A 20259-nucleotide genomic window follows, 5' to 3' on the forward strand; every position below is an offset into this window, starting at 1 on the left:
AGTGTTATACAAAGATGGCACACACATGTACAGATATTAATTCCGGATCAGTCTTAGTTCTGGATTCTCTGGCACTCCTTTACAAAGTGTTGAGACACCAGTCTTTTTTGCAAGAACCTACTATTCCCTTTGGAGAAAAGAAAGTTCTCACATGCTTTTCTAATTCAAAACAGCTGAACTTGATTCAATTCAGATCTGTCTTCCATTTTAAATTATAATAAAAAAATGAGTGAATTTCAGTTGTCTGGAAAAGAATTATCCTGTAACATTCTCAAGAATATTAATAATATTAACGTTACAATTTGAAAACCAAACTCAAGCACACACAATCTACGTGTTTATAATAGGAAGTACCACATTCAAACTAATAAGGTTTATGTCAATACTCTTGGTCAAAATCAATTATTCTTTTTTTTCTTTTTGGCTATTTCTTAAATAAATTGTTTCCTACCCTCAGTTTATGAGAATTATTTTTCTTCTGAAGTTCTTATATTTTATTTTTATTCTCCCTAACCAAACCACAGATGGCACCCTTTTTCATAATAAAGCCTATGTCTTTATTTAAGCTTATTAAATGTGTTACACAAAGACTGCTTCCTGTTATCCATTTTAATTTTGTTTTTCCCTCCCACCTGCTTATGTCTCATCTCCATGGTAAGACGAGGATCCTTCTGCTGCTTCTTGTCTTGGTTTTCCTTCCTTCCAAGATCTTCCATCATTGCAGAATCTACCACATTTTTATGGAGCAGATGGTCTATAAATTTTTGAACGGTGGTACTTTCCTCTTCTTCCTCCAAATAGCCACATAAATCTGGGGGAAACAGAACAACAAAAAAGGGAATTTTTTTAAAAAATTAATTTTAGTATTATATTCATATTTACATAAAGAATCCTAGTACAATAAAAATACAAAGCTGCGAGTGTTCAATAAATAGTAACTGATAATGGCAACTGATTGAGTATAGCCCTCAGCAGTTACCTTCAACTAAGAATAAAAAAGCTCCACTTACCAAGAATTGCCCTCACCCAAGTCACTAAAGAGTCCTTCACTGCCAAATCTAAAAGATTTCAATCTAAACAACCTTGAGAACTTCAATCTAAACAATCTTGAGAGCTCTACTGCTTTCAAAAAAAAGAAAGAAAGAAAGAAAAAAGCTTTATTGTGGTATAATTGACATATAATAAACTGCAAATATTTAAAGTTTACGATAAATTTCGACATATGCATATGCTAGTAAAACCATCACCACAGTCAAGATAATGAACATATCCATCAGCCCCAAAAGGGTCCTCATGCTGATTTGTAAACTCTTCCTTTCACTCCTCCCCTTGCCCTCCACTGTGCTCCAAGTAAGCACAGACCTGCTGCCACTATATATTAGTTTTCATTTTCCAGAATTTTATGTAAATTAGATCATACACTTATATACACTGTATTTTTTCTGACCTAGCTTCTTTCACTCAGCACAATTATTTTGAGATTCATTCATGTTGTGTGTATCAATAGTTTATCACTTTCTGTTGCTGAGCAGTATTCCACCATATGAATACACCACAAATTGTTTATTCATTCATTTGTTGATAGACATTTGAATTGTTTCCAGGTTTTGGCTATTGCAAATAAAGGTGTTATGAACATCTGTGTACAGTCATCCCTCCATATCTCTGGGGGATTGGTTCCAGGACCTCCCGAGAATATCAAAATCCAAAGATGTTCAAAAATCCATGATATCAAATGGTGTTGCATTTGCCTATAAACTATATCCATCCTTATACTCTAGATCATCTCTAGATTACTTATGATACCCAATACAATGTAAATGCTATGTTAATACTTGTTATATGTATTGTTTGGGGAATAATGACAAGAAAAAAGCTGTACATGTAAGTACAGATGGAATTATTTTTTCCCAAATATTTTTCATCCATGGTTGGTTGAGTCCAGAAATGCAGAACCCACAAAACATAGGCTTTCTTTTCTGTTGGGAAAATGTGTAGGAGTGGAACGATTGGATCATATTATAGCTAAATGCTTACCTTTTCAAGAAACTATCAAACTGTTGTCCAAAGTGGTTACACAACTTTACATTCCCACCAGCAGTGTAGAAGTATTCCAATTTCTCCACATCCTTACTAATACTCAGTATGGTCAGTCTTTCAAATTTAAGCCATTTTAAGATATGTAGAGGTAACTCATTGTAGTTTTAATTTTCAGTTTTCTAATGACTAATGTTACTGAACATCTTCCTTGATTATGTTTTGTAGTTGTTCCAAAGATAGTGGGGTAATGAAGTCTCTAACTACAGTCATGTGTCAAATAACAACATTTCCATCAACAATGGACTGCGTATATGAAGGTGGCCCCATAAGATTATAACGGAGCTGAAAAACTATTGCCTAGTGATGTTGTAGTCATCATAATGTCAGAGCACAATGCATTACTCATGTGTTTGTGGTGATGCTGGTATAAACAAAACAACTACACTAACAGTCGTATAAAAGTATAGCACGTGTACCACATTTTCTTTATCCAGTTTATCACTGATAGGCACTTGGGTTGATTCCATGTCTTTGCTATTGTGAAGAGTGTGTGCTGCAATGAACATACACCTGCATGTATCTTTATAATAGAATGATTTCTATTCCTTTGGGTATATACCCAGTAATGGTATAGCTGGGCCAAATGGTATTTCTGCTTCTAGATCGTTGAGGAATACTATGCAGCCATAAAAAGGAATGAGATCATGTCCTTTGCAGAGACATGGATGGAGCTGGAAGCCATCATCCTCAGCAAACTAACGCAGGAACAGAAAACCAAACACTGCATGTTCTCACTTAAAAGTGGGAGCTGAATGATGAGAACACATGGACACGTTGGGAAGAACAACACACACTGAGGCCTGTCATGGGTGGCAGGGGGAGGAAGAGCATCAGGAGAATAGGATGCTGGGCTTAATACCTAGGTGATGGGTTGATCTGTGTAGCAAACCACCATGGCACATGTCTACCTATGTAACAAACCGGTACATCCTGCACATGTACCCTGGACTTAAAATAAAAGTTAAAATAAAATAAAGCACCCTCAAAAAATCTTAAGAATACTATGCAAAAAAAAGTGTAGCACATACAATTATATACAATACATAATACTTGATAATGATAATAACAACTATGTTACTGGTTTATGTATATACTACACTTTTATCATTATCTTAGAGTCTATTCCTACTTATTAGAAAAAAAAATTGGGCTGGGCACAGTGGCTCACACCTGTAATCCCACCACTCTGAGAGGCCGAAATGGGAGGATTGCTTGAGCCCGGGAGTTCGAGACCAGCCTGAGAAGCAAAGCAAGACCCTGTTTCTTTTAAAAGAGGAAAAAAAAATTAGCTGGGTGTGGTGGCACACACCTGTAGTTTCAGCTACTAGGGAGGCTGAGGCTGGAGGATTTCTTGAACCCAGGAGTTCAAGGCTGCAGTGAGCTATGATCACCACTGCACAACAGAGGGAGATCCTGTCTTAAAACAAAACAAAACAAAAAAGGTTAACTGTAAAATAGCCCCAGGCAGGTCTTTTGGGCGTATCCAGATGAGGGTAATATTATCACAGGAGATGACAGCTAAATGCTTGTTATTGCCCCTGAAGACCTTCTAGTGAGACAAGATGTGGAGAAGATAGTGATATTGATGATCCTGGTTCTGTATAGGCCTAGGCTAATGTGTGTGTTTGTGTCTTAGTTTTTTAACAAGAAAAAAAAATTAAAATTTCAGAAATAGAAAAAAGTATATAGAATATAAAAAAATTTTGAGGGTTTGTTTTGACCTAAGTGTTACAAAAGAGTCAAAATGTTAGAAAAAATTCAAAATTTACAAAGTAAAAAAGTTGGAGTAAGTTAAAGTCAATTTATTATTGAAGAAAGAAAAATATGTTTTTATAAATTCAGTGTACCCTAAGTATACAGTGTTTTAAGTCTACAGTAGCGTATTTTAATATCCTAGGGCTTCACATTTACTCACAACTCACTCACTGACTAACCCAGAGCAGCTTCCTGCCCTGCAAACTCCATTTATGGTATACCCTGTACAGGTGTCCCATTTTTTACCCTTTATATACTGCATATGTACTGTACCTTTTTTTGATTGGATATGTTTAGACACCCAAATACTTACCATTGTGTTCCATTGCCTGTAGTATTAAGTAGCATGCAGTACAGGTTTGTGGCCTAGGAGCAATAGCCTATCTCACATAGCTTAGGTGTGTAGTAGGCTCTATCATCCAGGTTTGTGTAAGTACACTCTATAATGTTCACACAATGACAAAATCACCTAATGATGCATTTTGCAGGACTTATCCTCTTCATTAAGCAACACATGATTGTATTATTGTTGAATTCCATTTCTGTCTTCAATTTTGTCAATTTTTGCTTCATCTACCTTGGGAGTCTTTTGTCAGGTGTATATATATTTATAGTTGTTATGTTTTTCTGATGGATTGACTCTTTTATCGTTAGAAAATGCACTTTTTGTTTCTAGTAACAATTTTTTCTTTAAAAGTCTATTTTTGGGAAAATTAAAAATCAAAGAAAAAAATAAAAATAAAAAGTCTTATTTTTATATTAACATAGTAACTGTAGCTCTCTTTTGCTTACTATTTGCATGGTATATCTTTTTCCATCCTTTTCCTTTCAACCTATTTGTACTTTAAATTGAACATATGTCTCTTGTAGATAGCATATGTATTTTTAATCCATTCTGCCAATCTCTGCATTTGGACTGGAGTGTTTAATTAAATGCATTTATATTTAATGTAATTCCTGATAAAGCTTACACTTATCATTTTGGTATTTGTTTTCTACATGTCTTATGTAAATGGCCTTTATCAAGTTGAAGAATTTCTCTTGCATTACTAGTTTGCTGAGAAGCATTTTTCAGGAATGTATGTTAGATTTTGTTAAGTGCCTTTTCTGTGTCTATTGAGATAATATGTTAATTAACATTTTTGGTAAATATCCTTTTTAATGGTTACATAAATATTTGTTCAATATTTCAATTAAAAAAAAAAAACTCTACCAGCATACGATGATTGAGGCCTGGCATGGCACTAGATGATATCAACCAATCTAAGTAAAGGGATATAATTAGATCTATTAGTACTATATCAAAAGAAGTAATAGTTTCATTAGATTCCATATATTTGCTTCAGAACAAATATGAAGTACTGAAGTACCACACTTTAATAATGACATTAATAAACTAGAAAATGTCCAGAAGGCAGCAACGAGGATGATAAGACCTAGAAACCATGTGGTATAAAAAAATTGTTGAGAGTACTGGTGCTATTTAATCTGGAAACATAGAACTATATGAGTGGTCAAATATGGTAACAACTCCTACAAAAAATAAAACGTTCTTGAGAGAGAACATGTTATTTTAGTTGTACCATAGGGTAAAACGTTACTGAAGACAAAATCTTAATTCTCCTAACTAACGGAAACTTCTATGAGAATTAGAGCCTCACAGCAGTTGAATGGGCTCTACCCAAAGTGTAGGCTCCCAATCCCGGAAGGTGTTCAGGCAGAGGATACATCACTACAAGTTAGGGACACTGTAGAAGATCTCTATCTGGGTTGGCGAGGAGGGTAGATCAGACTACCTAGTCTTGAAGGATTCTTCTAATTTTACAAGCTGATAGTTTTGTGATCCTCAAGCTGGGGATTTTGCAGAGTCCTAAACAAGGAGAATGATGTCAGGTGAATTCACCAAGGGTATCTGAGTCATGTATGGGGAGCTGCCCCACTGTTACCATGACTATCCCTATGCTCAGGGAAAAAATACTCAGACCCTTGAGTGTATTAGATAAATCCTTACACGTCAGCCATCTAACTTGTCTGACGCTGGCTCTGTGCACAGTAGTGGTTTTTCTCTCCTCTGGAAAAAAAAACTAGAAAAGTAATAACCTCCCTTATAAGTAATAAATTGTCTGACACTGGCTCTGTGCACAGTAGTGGTTTTTCTCTCCTCTGGAAAAAAAAACTAGAAAAGTAATAACCTCCCTTATAAGTAATAACTAACAGATAAATAAGAAGCATTTTATAAATATAAAAATGACATATGAGTACTTAAATGTAGTCTGCATCAAACAGTCCAATGATATATGAGGAAGAGGCACTCTGAAACAGCATTAATTGCTATTCTAATCATAAGCAGAATTATAAATACAGTTGGCCCTCCCTATCTGCAGATGCCACATTCTTGGATTCAACCAACTGCAGTTCAAAAATATTTGAAAAAAATTAAAAATAACAATACAACAATAAAAAATAATAAACATTTTAAAATACAGTATAACAACTATTTACATAGAATTTATACTGTATTAGGTATTGTAAGTTGTCTAGAGATGATTTAAAGTATGCGAGAGGATACGCACAAGACTAGAACATCTGAGGAGTTTGGTATCTGTGGGGGCCAGGGGGTCCTGGAACTAATTCCTCACAGTTAGTTAGGGATAACTGTAATAGAATATTTTAATTTTTAAAACACCATGAATTTACTGAAGATATAGCATAAGAAATTTACATTTAACCATGATAAATTAAAACCAATAATAAAAACTAAAAAAAACACAGAAAACTTAAATATGTATCATTTGTTATTCAAAACAATTAAAAGACTTCTTAGACACATTCATTAGATGTTAAAACTTAGAACAATCAGGTAAGTTCTTACCATCAAACTTGTCATATTTCAAATGGCCATTGGCTTCCGGCATAATAGTGACACTTGACACAGTGTTTTTAGCATCACCTTCTTCCTCACTTGCTAATTCTTGCTTAAGTTTGGTGTCTAACCAGTCATTGACCAGCTCCTGAGCTACAATAAAACAAAAACATGTTAAGTATTTCAGTTACTTCAGAGATTTTCTTTATTCACTGTTTTCATTTATTCAATAAATATTAATTGAGTACCTATCGTGTCAAGTACTGTTCTAGATACTGGAATACAACAGTGAACAAAACTGAAAAAATAAGCCCTAGCATCATGAAACTTACATTCCAATTGGGGAAGAGAGACAATAAGTAAATAAGAGAAAAGGCAGGGACAGGAAGACATGGAAGATGGGTGTTGTAGCTTTAAATTGGGAGGTAAAAGAAAGCTTCACTGAGAAAAAGATATTTGAGCAAAGAAGGGAAGAAAGATAGAGAAGTGAGGATCTATAAGGTAATATTATTCTCTGCAGAGGGAAAGCAAATGCAGAGGTCCTGTGCAGGAGTATCTACAGTGTTGGAAAAACAGCAAGGAGGCCAGTGTGGTCAGAGAGAAGTGAGGAGGAGACAGCAGGAGATGAGGTTGGAGGGGTAATGTGCAGATCAGGTTTAGGGGAATGTTTAGGGCAATGATTATCAACCAGGTGCAATCTTGCCCCCCAGTGGACTTATGCCAATGTCTAGAGCCATTTTGTGTTGTCATAACTGGGGAAGCAATACTACTGTCTAGTAGGTAGAGGCCAGGGATGCTGCTAAACATTTGCAATTCACAGGACAGCCCCCACAAAAATTCTCTAGCCCAAAATGTCAATAGTCCTGAGGCTGAAATTCCCTTGCTTACACTCTTGACACAATTCTAGCTACTTTGGCTTTTACTCTGAGTACAATGGGAAGCCACAGGAGAGATGTGAGCACAGAGGTGATATATTTTAAGAGAATCACTTTGACCATTAAGTTAAAATAAACTATAGGGGATAAGCACGGAGGTAGGGAACACCAATTGGGAAACAAGTATAATAATCCAAAAGAGAGGTGATGGTGGCCTGGATCTGGGAGTGGAGGTATTAACAATGGTCAGATTACAGAAAAGAATGTTTTGAGGTGGAGTTGACATGACTTGCTAATGGACTGGATATAGGACATGAGAGAAAGAAATCTATGAGTTTTTTGGCTTAAGCAACTGCAAGGATGATGATGCCATTTACTGAGACGGGGAAGGCCAAGGATAGCAGCAGGCTTGAGGAGGAAGATTAGGAGTTCGGTCCCAGACATGTTAGGTTTGAGATGTTTAGGAGACATCCAAATAGGGATGTCAAATATGGTATTGGCTACAATACTCTGGATTTCAGGGGAGAGGTCCAAGCTGAAGAAATAAATGTGGAAGTTTTCAGCACGCAGACTGTATTTAAAATCATAGAAGTGGATGAAATTACCAAAGGAGGAAGGTAGACACAGAGGAGGTTCAAGGACTGAGTGCTGAGGAACTCCAGGATTTAGCGGTTGAAGAGAGAAGGTGGAACTAGGAAAGCTGACTAGGCCATTGAGGTAGGAGGAAAATCAAAGAGTGTGATATCCTGAAAGCTAACCTCCATTTGGATTTCTTTCTTAATGCTATTAAGAAAATTTCCTGAAATTATTTAGGTATGGGGAAAATGCCTGCTTTAGCATAGCTTTCATCATTGTTATTACTATCAAACAGCTCTTTTGTCTATTTTCTCATTACCTTCATCATTATGATGATCATTATTGCATAGTTAGTTCTTAGGGAATGGGGTGTTTACATTAAATGATGCCAAGAGGCATTTAATACAGATAAAATAGGAAAAAATAAATCAGAGTAATATAAACGAAGTGTTAAAAGCATACTAGCAACAAATGCCATTGGCTTTCAGGGGAAGGTAGAGAAAGGGAGAAGATATTTACTGAGTAGCCCTTGCATATAATAATTCAAACATTTATGTGTATAGTAATTTATATGCAAAATAATTCACACCTACTAAATAACATTCATTGGTAAATGGGGATTTACTGTGAAGTGCCCCCCAAAAACAAATAAAACTTCCCTTGGAGGGGTTAAACTGTAGAAATACCTTGTGTTAGACCACATGAGAAGTATACAAACTACCTTAAAGCACAGATTTTCAAAGTATGTTCCTCAGAACACTACTTTTGTAGAATATTAGTATAGTTTATGATAGGAGAAAAAAAATGATATAAACCTTTGAAAACCATGTTCTATCCATTGGTGTTCTATCCATATACCAAACCATGTTCCTAATGTGAATCACTAGTTTCTCAGGATAATATACAGATTTCAGGATAAAAAGAGGTTCATGGTCTAGGCAGCATGGGAAATGAGGCAAGTAAACATTTCTTTTCAACTGCAGGACTTCTCAAAACCCTTAACAGGCTAAAGTATATTGGGTATCTCTACTGGCAGGGTGGGAGGTGGGGTGGGCAAGATCAGCCAAGCCAATTTCAGAATCAATCTCCTTTCTCTAGCTCCAGTACTATCAACCACTCTAAACCACTCACCATTACTGCTCACCCAGACCACCACCAACAGCCTCCCACTGGTTGCCCTTTTCTCTCTTTTTCTCCCCTATAATCCATTCTTCCTATATTTAATTTATTATTTGTTTATTTATTGAGATGGAGTCTCGCTCTGTCACCCAGGCTGGAGTGCAGTGGCAAGATCTTGGCTCACTGCAACCTCTGCCTTCCGAATTCAAGTGATTCTCCTGCTTCAGCCTCCCAAGTAGCTGGGATTACAGGCACCCACCACCATGCCCTGCTAAATCCTTCATATATTTTATAAACTGTCATATTACTCCTCTGCTTAAAACCCTTCAATTCTATCCTGTCATACTCAGAGTAAAATCTAAATTCTTTCCCCAGGCTTGGAAAGCCCTATGTGACATACCTTCTCCTCACTCCCGCCAGCTTCTCTCTGTGGGGAAGCTCCAGCCACATGGGTCTTCCTGCAGCACACCATGCCTGTCTGTACTTCATGCTCCCTTTCCATCTGCCTGGATGCTTCCCCCATCACATTGTTCAACTGACTCCTTGCTCCTTGCTGACTCAGGTCTGAACTTGAAGGACTTATTACTACTGGATCACTGTAAAATTTTCTTTATTCCCACAAGAAATGTATATTTCATGAAAGCAAGGGCTTTGTCTCTCTTGTTCATAACCAGTACTTCCAGTGCCTACAACTGTACCTAGCACAGAGTATATGTGTGTTGAATAAATGAAGAAATAAATGGAATAACTGGAGACATGAGTCATCCAAATGGAAGTTGGCTTGTAGGACATCACACTCTTGACTTTCCATCTACCACAGTGGCCTCCCTTTCTCAGTCTCCTTTGTTGGTCCTTCCTGATTCCTTCTATACCTAAATGGTAGAGTTCCCCAGGGCATCAGTAACGAAAATACCAAATTCCAGAAGAGTAAATGCTTCTGGGACATAGGAAGGTTAAACTGTTTTTAGGGTCTCTTTATCAGGAATAAAACTGATTTATAGACTATAGTCAAATTATCTGTATAATATCTGATCAAATTAACATGCTACCATCTTTGTCACAGGACTAATATCTTACAGCATTCACCAATTAGCTGTTGTATCAAACTACCTCTGGATGTGGTTCTAATTTGGGAAACAAAATGAGGCTTAAGTATATCCTTACTTGTAATATTGGAGTTAATTCCAGAGTAAAATAGTTTCAGGGGAGTAGAAAGAAAGGGAAATTAAGAACAAGAGTAAGAAAACTTCCATTCTCTACTTTGAAATGCATCATGGGTTATGCTTTAAGAATTGTTAACATCGCAGCAGAAAATGCATTCTCTTACCTTCTGCATAGATTTCATCATGATCCTCTATTTGCTCAGATGTTTTCAAATCTGTGATTTGGCCCCAGGGACTTCTAGGTAAATCTGAATTTCTAGTAAAAAATGCATTTGACACTGCAAACTCTGAGGCTTTCTCCACTCTCTTCAATATAACAGAAAAAAAAATCCATAAAGATGACAACAAATTTGTTCAGTTAGAGAATTTCTCTCCTACTCAAGAAACTGATTTTCTACCACCTACTAAGATTCGTTCATTTTTCCATTTTTGGAGAAACTCTTGAGGTTTAAACATCTACCCCCAAATATTCTGGGAGGTTTCATATATAATATTAAATTAATTGCAGTATTTTACCAAGTTCTAACAGATGTTCACAATTTTGATATTTGAATAAAAGTTATTAAGATTTAGATAACTTTTGTTTAGGGCATTAGTGATAGGATCCTGAGACATGGATATTTTACTTTAAATAAAAAATATTATATTTTATTAGTTTTCATGCCCTTAGGACTTGCATATGAATATGAACCAGAGGTAGAGTAACCACACTTCAGCAAATTAGTACTCCTGAAGGAAATCTCCCATCTCATATTAGGCAATCATATATTAGGTTCAATAAAATTGGAATAAACAGAATCACTGAACTGTAGCCATCTAGAATGTTTTAACTCAACAGCAAGAGTCTAGTAAAAACATGACCAAATTTGCAGGATTGGGGGAAGAAACAGCAGAAGTGGACAAACTGCCTTAGTGTTTTTATTTACCTGCACAGAATAAAAACGCTTATATTAGGCTGGGTGCAGTGGCTCATGCCTGTAATCATAGCACTTTGGAAGGCCAAAATGGGAGGACTGCCTAAGCTCAGGAGTTTGAGACCAGCCTGGGGCACTTAGTGAGACTCCAACTCTAGTTAAAAAATAAAAAATTAGCCGGGTGTGGTTGTGCACACCTATAATCCTAGCTACTTCAGAGGCTGAGGCAGGAGGAATCGCTTGAGCCCAGAGGGTTGGGACCACAGTGAGCTGTGTTCATGCCACTGCACTCCTGCCTGGGTGACAAAGTGAGACTGTCTCAAAATAAATAAATTTAATTAAATAAATTTTAAAGCTGGGCACGGTGGCTCATGCTGTAATCCCAGCACTTTGGGAGGCCGAGGCGGGTGGATCACTTGAGGTCGGGAGTTCAAGACCAGCCTGGCCAACACGGTGAAACCCTGTATCTACTAAAAATACAAAAATTAGCCGGGTGTGGTGGCATGAGCCTGTAATCTCAGCTACTTGGGCAGCTGAGGCATGAGAATCACTTGAACCCGGGAGGCAGAGGTTGCAGTGAGCTGAGATTGTGCCACTGTACTCCAGCTCGAGTGACAGAGCGAGACTCTGTCTCAAAAGAAAAAAAATGTTAAAACTTATTTTATAACTTAACCCCTAACTTCCCCCTCCCAGAAACCTGCTTTCTCCCATGATTGCTGTGTTTCTTCCAACTCAGATAGTGACAACTACATTCCTCAGGATGAAAACTTTGGCGTCCTTAATCCAATCTATCTCTCTCTTTCTCACCCCACATATAATTGATCAGGACATCTGTTGACTCTATTTTTAAAATATATACAGAATCTGACCCCTTTCCATCACCTCCATTGCTACCATGTTGGTCCAAAGCACAACAATTTCCTGACAGGTTTTCTGGAATAGCCTCTCACCACAGCAGTGAATGACTCCTTTAAAATGAAAGCCACATAATGTGTGTCACAACTCCACTCAAAAGCCTTCAGTGGCTCCTGATCTCAATCAGAATTAATGTCAAAGTCCTTATAATGCGCTTCCAGGTCCTGCCACGCAGCCCTTTGTGAGCTTTCCAAGACTCTCGCTAATCTTCCCTTTGCTCGTTCTACTTCAGCCTCACGGACCTCCTTGCTTGTTCCTCCTCAAATATGCTCAGTGTGTTCCCAGCTTAGGGCCTTTGTACTTGCTTATCCTCTGCCTGAACTGCTCTCCTACAGATACGCATAGGCATCCTTCCCTCACCTCCTGAAGCCTTTGCTCAAATGTCACCTTCCCAGTAAGGCCTTCTTTGACTACCCTATATGAAACTGTAAACACTCTCCTCCAGCTCTCCTTCTCCCCGTCCTCTGCTCTGATTGTCTCTATAGTACTTACCATCTTATCGTATATTTAATCACTTATTGTCTCCCTCAGGTAGAATGTTGGCAGGAATTCTTATCTTCTTCTCAAGGAGAACCTGGCACCAAGAACAGTGCTTGGCACTCAACAGGTGTCCAATAAATATTTGTTAAAGGAATGAATACATGAAAACTTTATTCAGAAAAGCTGTACTTTCCGATATTTATATTGTCACCTGACCTATTCTGAAAATGACTTTTCCTCCTGCCCTTTATGGAAAGACTGGTGGAACCTCTGCCAAAACTTGCCATGGGCTTTTCCATCCAAATTCTTGTGCGTTTCATACATTAGCTTTAAGTCAGACAGAAGCAGAGGAATAAAGCTGAAAAGTGAAGGGTAATTTGAAAAAGATGTAGAAAACAGAACATACAGGCAAAGACATGAGCCAGAAGAAAACATGATCTCATTAGAGTTAGAGTCAAGAAAATATCATTCACTCCTTATGAAGTCACTTGGTAGAGACCTATTTTCCCATATTATTTCTGATAGCCTCTGATGCATGCAAGTTTATGTTGGTAGCATACGTCATGTATTAGATTCATGGTTGGCACATGGTCTTTCCTTTAGGCTCCTAAATTCTGAGACAGAAAGATGAATTTTGCATATACTGTATGTGTTCGTATATGCACATATGTAAATAACGTACAAATAAATTGATCAACTTTAGTGTTTTAAAAATCCACAAACAAAAAATTAGCAACAAAAACAGATTCGTAGACTTGACTTAGTTCCTCAGGCCTTGAGTGAAAGAAATAATTATGTGTTATGTGTCATCCTACCTGAGTTGGAATTTGTACAGGTTCTTAACAGAGGAGGGTAGAGAGGTTGGGAGAGAAGAGGAGAAAGACTGAAGGATAAAGAAGGATAGAGGCTGGTACTGACAAGGAAATAAAGACAAATGTTTGCTTGGCTTTAACAAGGCAAGTGTTTGGGATATCACTTAAAATGAAGATTTGAGGAGAAAGAACTACTGGATGATACTAAGGACTATACATAATCTCTATATTTGTTTGTGTTAAAACATTACATCCTTAATATTTTTTTTCAAAATAAATATGTAAGACATAGGAGAGAGCTACCCTATATTTAAGTAAAACATTTTGGCAATTTAACAACTTATTCTTTCAGCAAGTCCTGATTGAAGGCTAGCTCTGTTCCCAGCACTGGAGTGGGCATTAAGTGGAAACAAAAGTAAAAGTTTCTGTTCTTAAATAGCTTACTTTTTTTGTTTGTTTTTGGTTTCCTATATCATGTGTGCAATAAACAACTCAAGGACAGTTCTGAAGCAATGCAGGGTGATTTAAGAAAAACTGAACACCTTCAAAAGCGTATCATAGTAACTATGTTATATATAAACATATTACTTGTAAAGGAACTATCTCAGTTATTCCCACGATCTTATAAATGCTCAATATGTGTTCCTTGTGTCCCACAGCAGACATCAATCCCATGGTCCACTACAGATCCTTTGTAGCCTAGCAACATGGATGGCAGAGACAGCAGTTACAATGTCATCCTTCATTTCCTCAAAACCAGTGGATACAAACATGAGCTTCTTGACATACTGCATGCTCATATATAATAAATAGTTCTGTGAGTAATAAATTTTTGAAGCTACCCATTCTTTTTTAATCACTTTGTACAAAAGCAAATGCTTGAGGCTGTATCTGTGTATATAAATGCCAAAATAATTCTAGGTGAAAGAGTAGTACAAGATGGGATTAGGAGGTGGAGGTAGGTAAGGGGGATTTGTCCACTTAGAGAGGCATCTCAAGTTGAGCTACAAGGGAAGGATCTGGATTGGCCTCTCAGAGAGGAGGAGTATTCCAGGCTGAGGGATCAACGTGAGTCAAAGCAAAAGGAACACCTGTCTGATGGAGGGGAAGGAGACTGGCTTGACGGGAGTCATGGAGGATCAGTATAGGGACTGCTACAGATAAATTGATATTATAGGTTGACTGCTAGAGGGTTGTCAATACTCATCTGGAATTTATAGAGTTTCGTCTGATGGCACATAGAATAACTGATGATTGGAGAGTAGGGAAATGATTTGATTAAAATGTTTAGAAAGCTCAATCAAGTTACAGAATGCCCTGGAGTAAGATGAGTCAGTCCATCTCATCAAGATGAGGATAAATTGTAAATCATGGTGGACTGTTGCATTTTGGGTGAGTTGCTGCAGGACTCACAGTTTTACCCAACCATCTACCTGATTCTAGGTGATTTCAATGTCCCTGAAGATGAATCACCAACATCTCAGCCTTGAGGTTTGGTTGTTCATCTGTATTCCAACAGCTTTCCCCTCAATTCCACTTCAGCAACCTATTGACATCGTGACCCCGAACCATGTCACAAAGCATGGTTCACAACATTTTCCATTGCTCAAACCAAACTGATAACCCCTTCTCCAACATCAACCTCTGATCCATCTCCCTGTTTCATTCTCCCTACTCCTATGACACTGAAGTTGGACCTAACCAAGTCTTCTAGTCACTGTACACCTCCCTCTTCTAACTTGAGTCCTTGAAAGGGTTCCTTCCTTTCCTACTCAGTGTGGATATGCAGCTACTATCTTACTGCATCCTCGAACCCCTTGTTCCTTGGCTGTTCCAGAGAAAACCTCCAAGTCTGGATCAATCTGATCTACCTATTTTTAGTACCATAAAATATTATGGGCCAGGCATGGTGGCTCACGCCTGTAATCCCAGCACTTTGGGAGGCTGAGCCCAGTGGATTGCTTGAGCCCAGGAGTTTGAGACTAGCCTGGGCAACATAGTGAAACCCCATCTCTATTTAAAATATATATTTAAAAATTAATTATGGTTAACTGCTTCAGCCATGTCCCCAGTGCCACTGAGAAATCTTCCTTTTCTGTTCTGAAGAGAGGCCTTTCTCAATTTTTACTATACTCCATACCCTTTCCATATATTCTCCCCTTCTTTCACATAAAGAGGTCTCAGCTGATTTTGAAAGGGTGGTCCACTCAAGTGGACTTTGAAGTCTTCGGTCCAGAGGTTATAACTGTTTAGGGTACACCCAGAGTTAGCAATGAAATAAGAAAAGAAGACAGAGAAGTGAACAAGGAAGTATTAGAAGCAGCAGGAAAAAAACAGTTACAAAAAGACCATGGAGGAGAGGATTTCTAGAATAAAGCAATGGTAACTATGTCAATGTAACCTGAAAAAGTTTGAGGACTATCAAAAGACTACTGGATTTGGTCAGGAAGTCATTTATGACAACAGTTTCTGTGGAATGGTAAGAAATTAGGACGCAGGAGAATAACTGTGGACACAAGAGGACAAGAAAAATACAAAGGCAAGGAGTCCAGGTTATGTATCCAAAACATTAGATATGAAAAAGAAATCGTTCAGGAATCAGAATAGATTACAGGATCAAATAAAGACTTATTGGTTTTTTTCAAGACAGATTTGATGACATAATGGAGACAGAGCCAATGCAGAAATGTTAGAGGAATGATAAAAGATGATAAAAATTGAGTCAAGCTGGCTGAAAACTATATGAAAACGGACAATGTCACAGACAAATCAGAGCAAAATTTTATCTTCCTGTTTTAGTTAAATCTTTGCCTCTGAAGAGATGGTAACTAACTGTGTGACTAAGCCCTGCAGGGACTTGGCACTGGGACTCTCAACACTCACATGCAAGCTAGTCTTACTAGATAGAGGAGTGGCCTTCCTAGAGACTAGCATTCATGATGGTAGATCCACTTTAGTCGTCATCTAAGTTAGGCTTTCTGCAGTAGCCAGGAAGCTTCCCCTGACTCCATTTAAATTAGTGCCTCTCACCACATACTTCCATTACATCTTTAATTCTCTCATGAGCTTTAGTAAGTTGTTTATTCTCCACTGGACTGTAAACCCTGGGAGGGCAGGGACTGTACCTGCTCTGTTTTAGCTCCAACACCCAACACAGTGGGCTAGTACTTAGTAGGCACTCAAATACCAGCTGAATAAATAAATGCTTAAAAATTATTACATCTGGCCTAGGATCTATTATATCTATCTGGGATCTGGTGCTCATGATGCATGTCAATTTAGATGAGTAATCACTCTTCAAAATACTGTCAGAATGGTCTTTTCCCGGGAAAATGCTGCATGATTTTGAAACATGTGGTACACGATGAATTGAATATGGCAAGTTGCTAAACTGACACGCAGAAGCACACACCTGAAATGATTTAATGGCACTTTCAAATTAAATGGTACTCAGACTCAAAAATACATATCTCAGGCCTGGAAGAGATGTCAGAGGTTATCTAACACAATCTCCCCTTCACTGAATCCTCAAACATATTGTTCATTAGCCTAACATTAAGTGACCAGTTAGAGTCCATTAAAATAGCTTCAGTGGTAGAAAACACATCTCTATAAGAACACCCAGTCCACTTTTGGATGGACTAGTCATTAGAAAATTCTTATTTGTGATGCACACGTAGTTTTCACCCATTAGTCCCTAGGTCATTGTAACTACAGTGCAGTCTTTCCAACATCTGAGGAAGGCCACCATATCCTCTCCCAAGGCTTCTTTTCACAACTCCTTTAATCCTCTTCATGTGATACTCATGGCATTTGAAACGAAGTCTACACACCTGTTTTCTTGTCATTCCTACTTAAATGGTATCATGAGAGGCAACAGAATTATGAAAAAAAATACTAAAAAGTATAAAATTAAGGCAACTTACATAGTCACACGGGAATAAAAATAGCAGAGTATGTGCAAAGTGGAGATCTATTCATATTTCTTTTCCATCTGATTATGCTTGACTCTTAATACTCTTTTTATTCTAAATTTGAAATATCCTTACCTTTATCCAGTGTTCCACACTGTCAGGACCAAAAGTAGGCTGTAGATAACATATATATGATATCAATACGCAGCAATATCTTTATCAACTTTGCCATTTAAATCTATCCTTCTGACTAAAGCATATGGAACAGTGTCCTTTATTATTTCCCCAAAGCATTTCATTAGAAAGTTCAGCATGATTAGCAATAAAAGACACAGAATAGCAGTATGAGGAGAAAACATGAAGCCTTCCTGGGACACTGATTGTTTTTATTTCTTGTCTAGGTCCACCTTGATATTGTGATTTAATTGGTCTGGGATAGGACCCTGGCACTGCTATTTTTTTAAACCTCCTTAGGGTTAAGAGTCAAGATATAGAAATGCTAAATATAAAGCTACTCATTAAAAAAAAAAAGCACTGATTAATTAGCCAGATTATCCAAGTAATCTTTAGCTTAAAGAAGGGTGTGTTCCTCTCCTTACTCCTTTCATAAGTAGCCTGTAGCAAGAGGCTTTCTCATCTTACCCAGATCAGGGATCTTGTTTGGCCCAATAAAAACTGAAGGTTAAAAAATCTGACTTCTACTGTTTTACAAAGCAGAAAATATAAATTTCCACCCAGATCAGTCAGGTATTAATCTGAAATTAGAAGTAAAACCATCAGGGCATTTCCTTTCTTCACTCTCTGTAACTCCTAGAAGCTTGGAGAATTCCCTCTAATAGTCACTTAACAAATAGAGTTATCTTCTTTGCCAAAAATGCAGGTGTGTTTTGGCCGGGAGCAGTGGCTCATGCCTGTAATCCCAGCACTTTGGGAGGCCAAGGCGGGCAGATCACAAGGTCAAGAGATCAAGACCATCCTGGCTAATACGGTGAAACCCCGTCTCTACTAAAAAAAAAATACAAAAAATTAACCAGGCGTGGTGGCGGGTGCCTGTAGTCCCAGCTACTCAGGAGGCTGAGGCAGGAGAATGGCGTGAACCCGAGAGGCGGAGCTTGCAGTGAGCCGAGATTGCACCACTGCGCTCCAGCCTGGGCGACAGAGCGAGACTCTGTCTCAAAAACAAACAAACAAACAAACAACAACAACAACAAAAACTGGGGAATGGGGCGAGGGTTAATCAATCTGACTTTTACTGTTTTACAAAGCAGAAAATATAAATTTCCACCCAGATCAGTCAGGTATTAATCTGAAATTAGAAGTAAAACTATCAGGACATTTCCTTTCTTCAACCTCTGAAACTCCCAGAAGCTTGCAGAATTCCCTCTAATAGTCACTTAACAAATAGAGTTATCTTCTTCACTAAAAATTCAGGTGTGTTTTTAAAATAAGGGGATATCCTGATGATTTGTCATTGGAGCACTAAATCTCTTTTGGTTTGGCGTTCCCAGTTCATGAATTGCTTCTTACTCAAATATACTCTTTAAAATAATAATAATAATAATAATAATAAAATAAGGGGATATCTAAACTAGCATACTGACACATGGAGGTGGGAAAAATATAATACTCTTTCACTTACCTAACACTTTACCTTCAAAGCATCTTACTGATAACTAACGCAGCTGTACTGCTTAATAATTTTGTCACTGCAACAAAGAAAGAGCTGATCTAATTAAAATACAACTGAACTTGAAGAAGCCCTATGTTTTTACCTTTTTTTCTCTAGGCAGTAATAATGAGCACTAGCAGCAAAAATCCTTCCTTTTGGAGTCCTAAGAAATTATTCTAAATTTTTACCTTTCATCATCAAGTCCATATCTATATCCTATCTTGGATCCAATACATTATGCAACTGATGTATTGAAATAGCAGCAGCCTCAGTTTCCAAGTCTCCCTGATGCTTCAGTCTGTGCCCTCTAGTATCTAGGGCAACATATTTGTCATGTGGAATATGTCCAATGCATTTAGCTGGTAAATTTAGAATAAATCGCAAGAACAATCGCCTGGGGCCCTCAAAAAGGCCACATACATCTACAGAATATTATTTAGGAAAGTATAACTTAAGGGTGAAAACAGCTGGTGAAACTGCTCTGTAGCTGAAAGCTGAGAAGCTTCTCCATTTTAGTACTCTCATTTAGATTTTAAGCATCTTTTTGGGGACTGTTAAAAAGGTAGTCTGTGGAAAGCACACGGTGCAACTGTGACTTTGCACATGTCACATATGTTTCAAGTTTAAAATGGGGTTATTATTTTTTTCTTATCTTCAGGTGCTAATGCATCCAAATGGGTGATAGATACGGAGAGAATCTATTTTTTGAAAGTTGGTTGAATTTAGAAATTACTATGTGAATCAAGTATTAATGTATTCAATATCCATTTGCACTCCTGAGTTTATTTAGATACTTTACGTAAAAGTGAAGGGGCAGGAATATAGGCAGGGTATTTAATGTGAAGCTCTCTCCCGTTAATAAAGATCAATTACCCCAAGATTTGCAAAAAAAAAAAAAGAGAGAGAAAAAGAAAGAAATGTGCGAGAAGTTTCCTAAAATTTAAGGTAGGGGGAACGGAGTTTGCAAACTCCTTTCACCCCGATGGGCATTAGCAGACACCTCCGGTTTTAGAAAAGCGTTACAAACAGTTCTTCCACGATGCTGCCCACCAAAGCCGTAATGTGCCCAGACCCCAGAGCTCCTAGAGCATTTCACTCAGGGTA

The 20259-nt window shown here is 37.7% G+C and overlaps 1 protein-coding gene across 10 annotated transcripts in view; it reads right to left on the minus strand.

The window, feature by feature from the left end:
- Positions 1–20259, minus strand: part of CCDC191 (coiled-coil domain containing 191) — a 92477-nt gene that overhangs the window by 71839 nt on the left and 379 nt on the right. For 2 of the 10 annotated variants that reach the window (NR_148531.3, NM_001353767.2), the window contains 2 exon segments: positions 6728–6871; positions 633–811 (listed from right to left, as the gene is read on the minus strand). Coding sequence is in view for 9 of the 10 variants with exons in the window: in NM_001353767.2 (NP_001340696.2) it covers positions 633–811; positions 6728–6871 (323 nt within the window). In the remaining variant the exon portion in view is untranslated. 10 annotated transcript variants of the gene reach the window in all.

The sequence above is a fragment of the Homo sapiens genome, chromosome 3 (assembly GCF_000001405.40).
Source record: "Homo sapiens chromosome 3, GRCh38.p14 Primary Assembly".
NCBI lineage: Eukaryota > Metazoa > Chordata > Mammalia > Primates > Hominidae > Homo > Homo sapiens.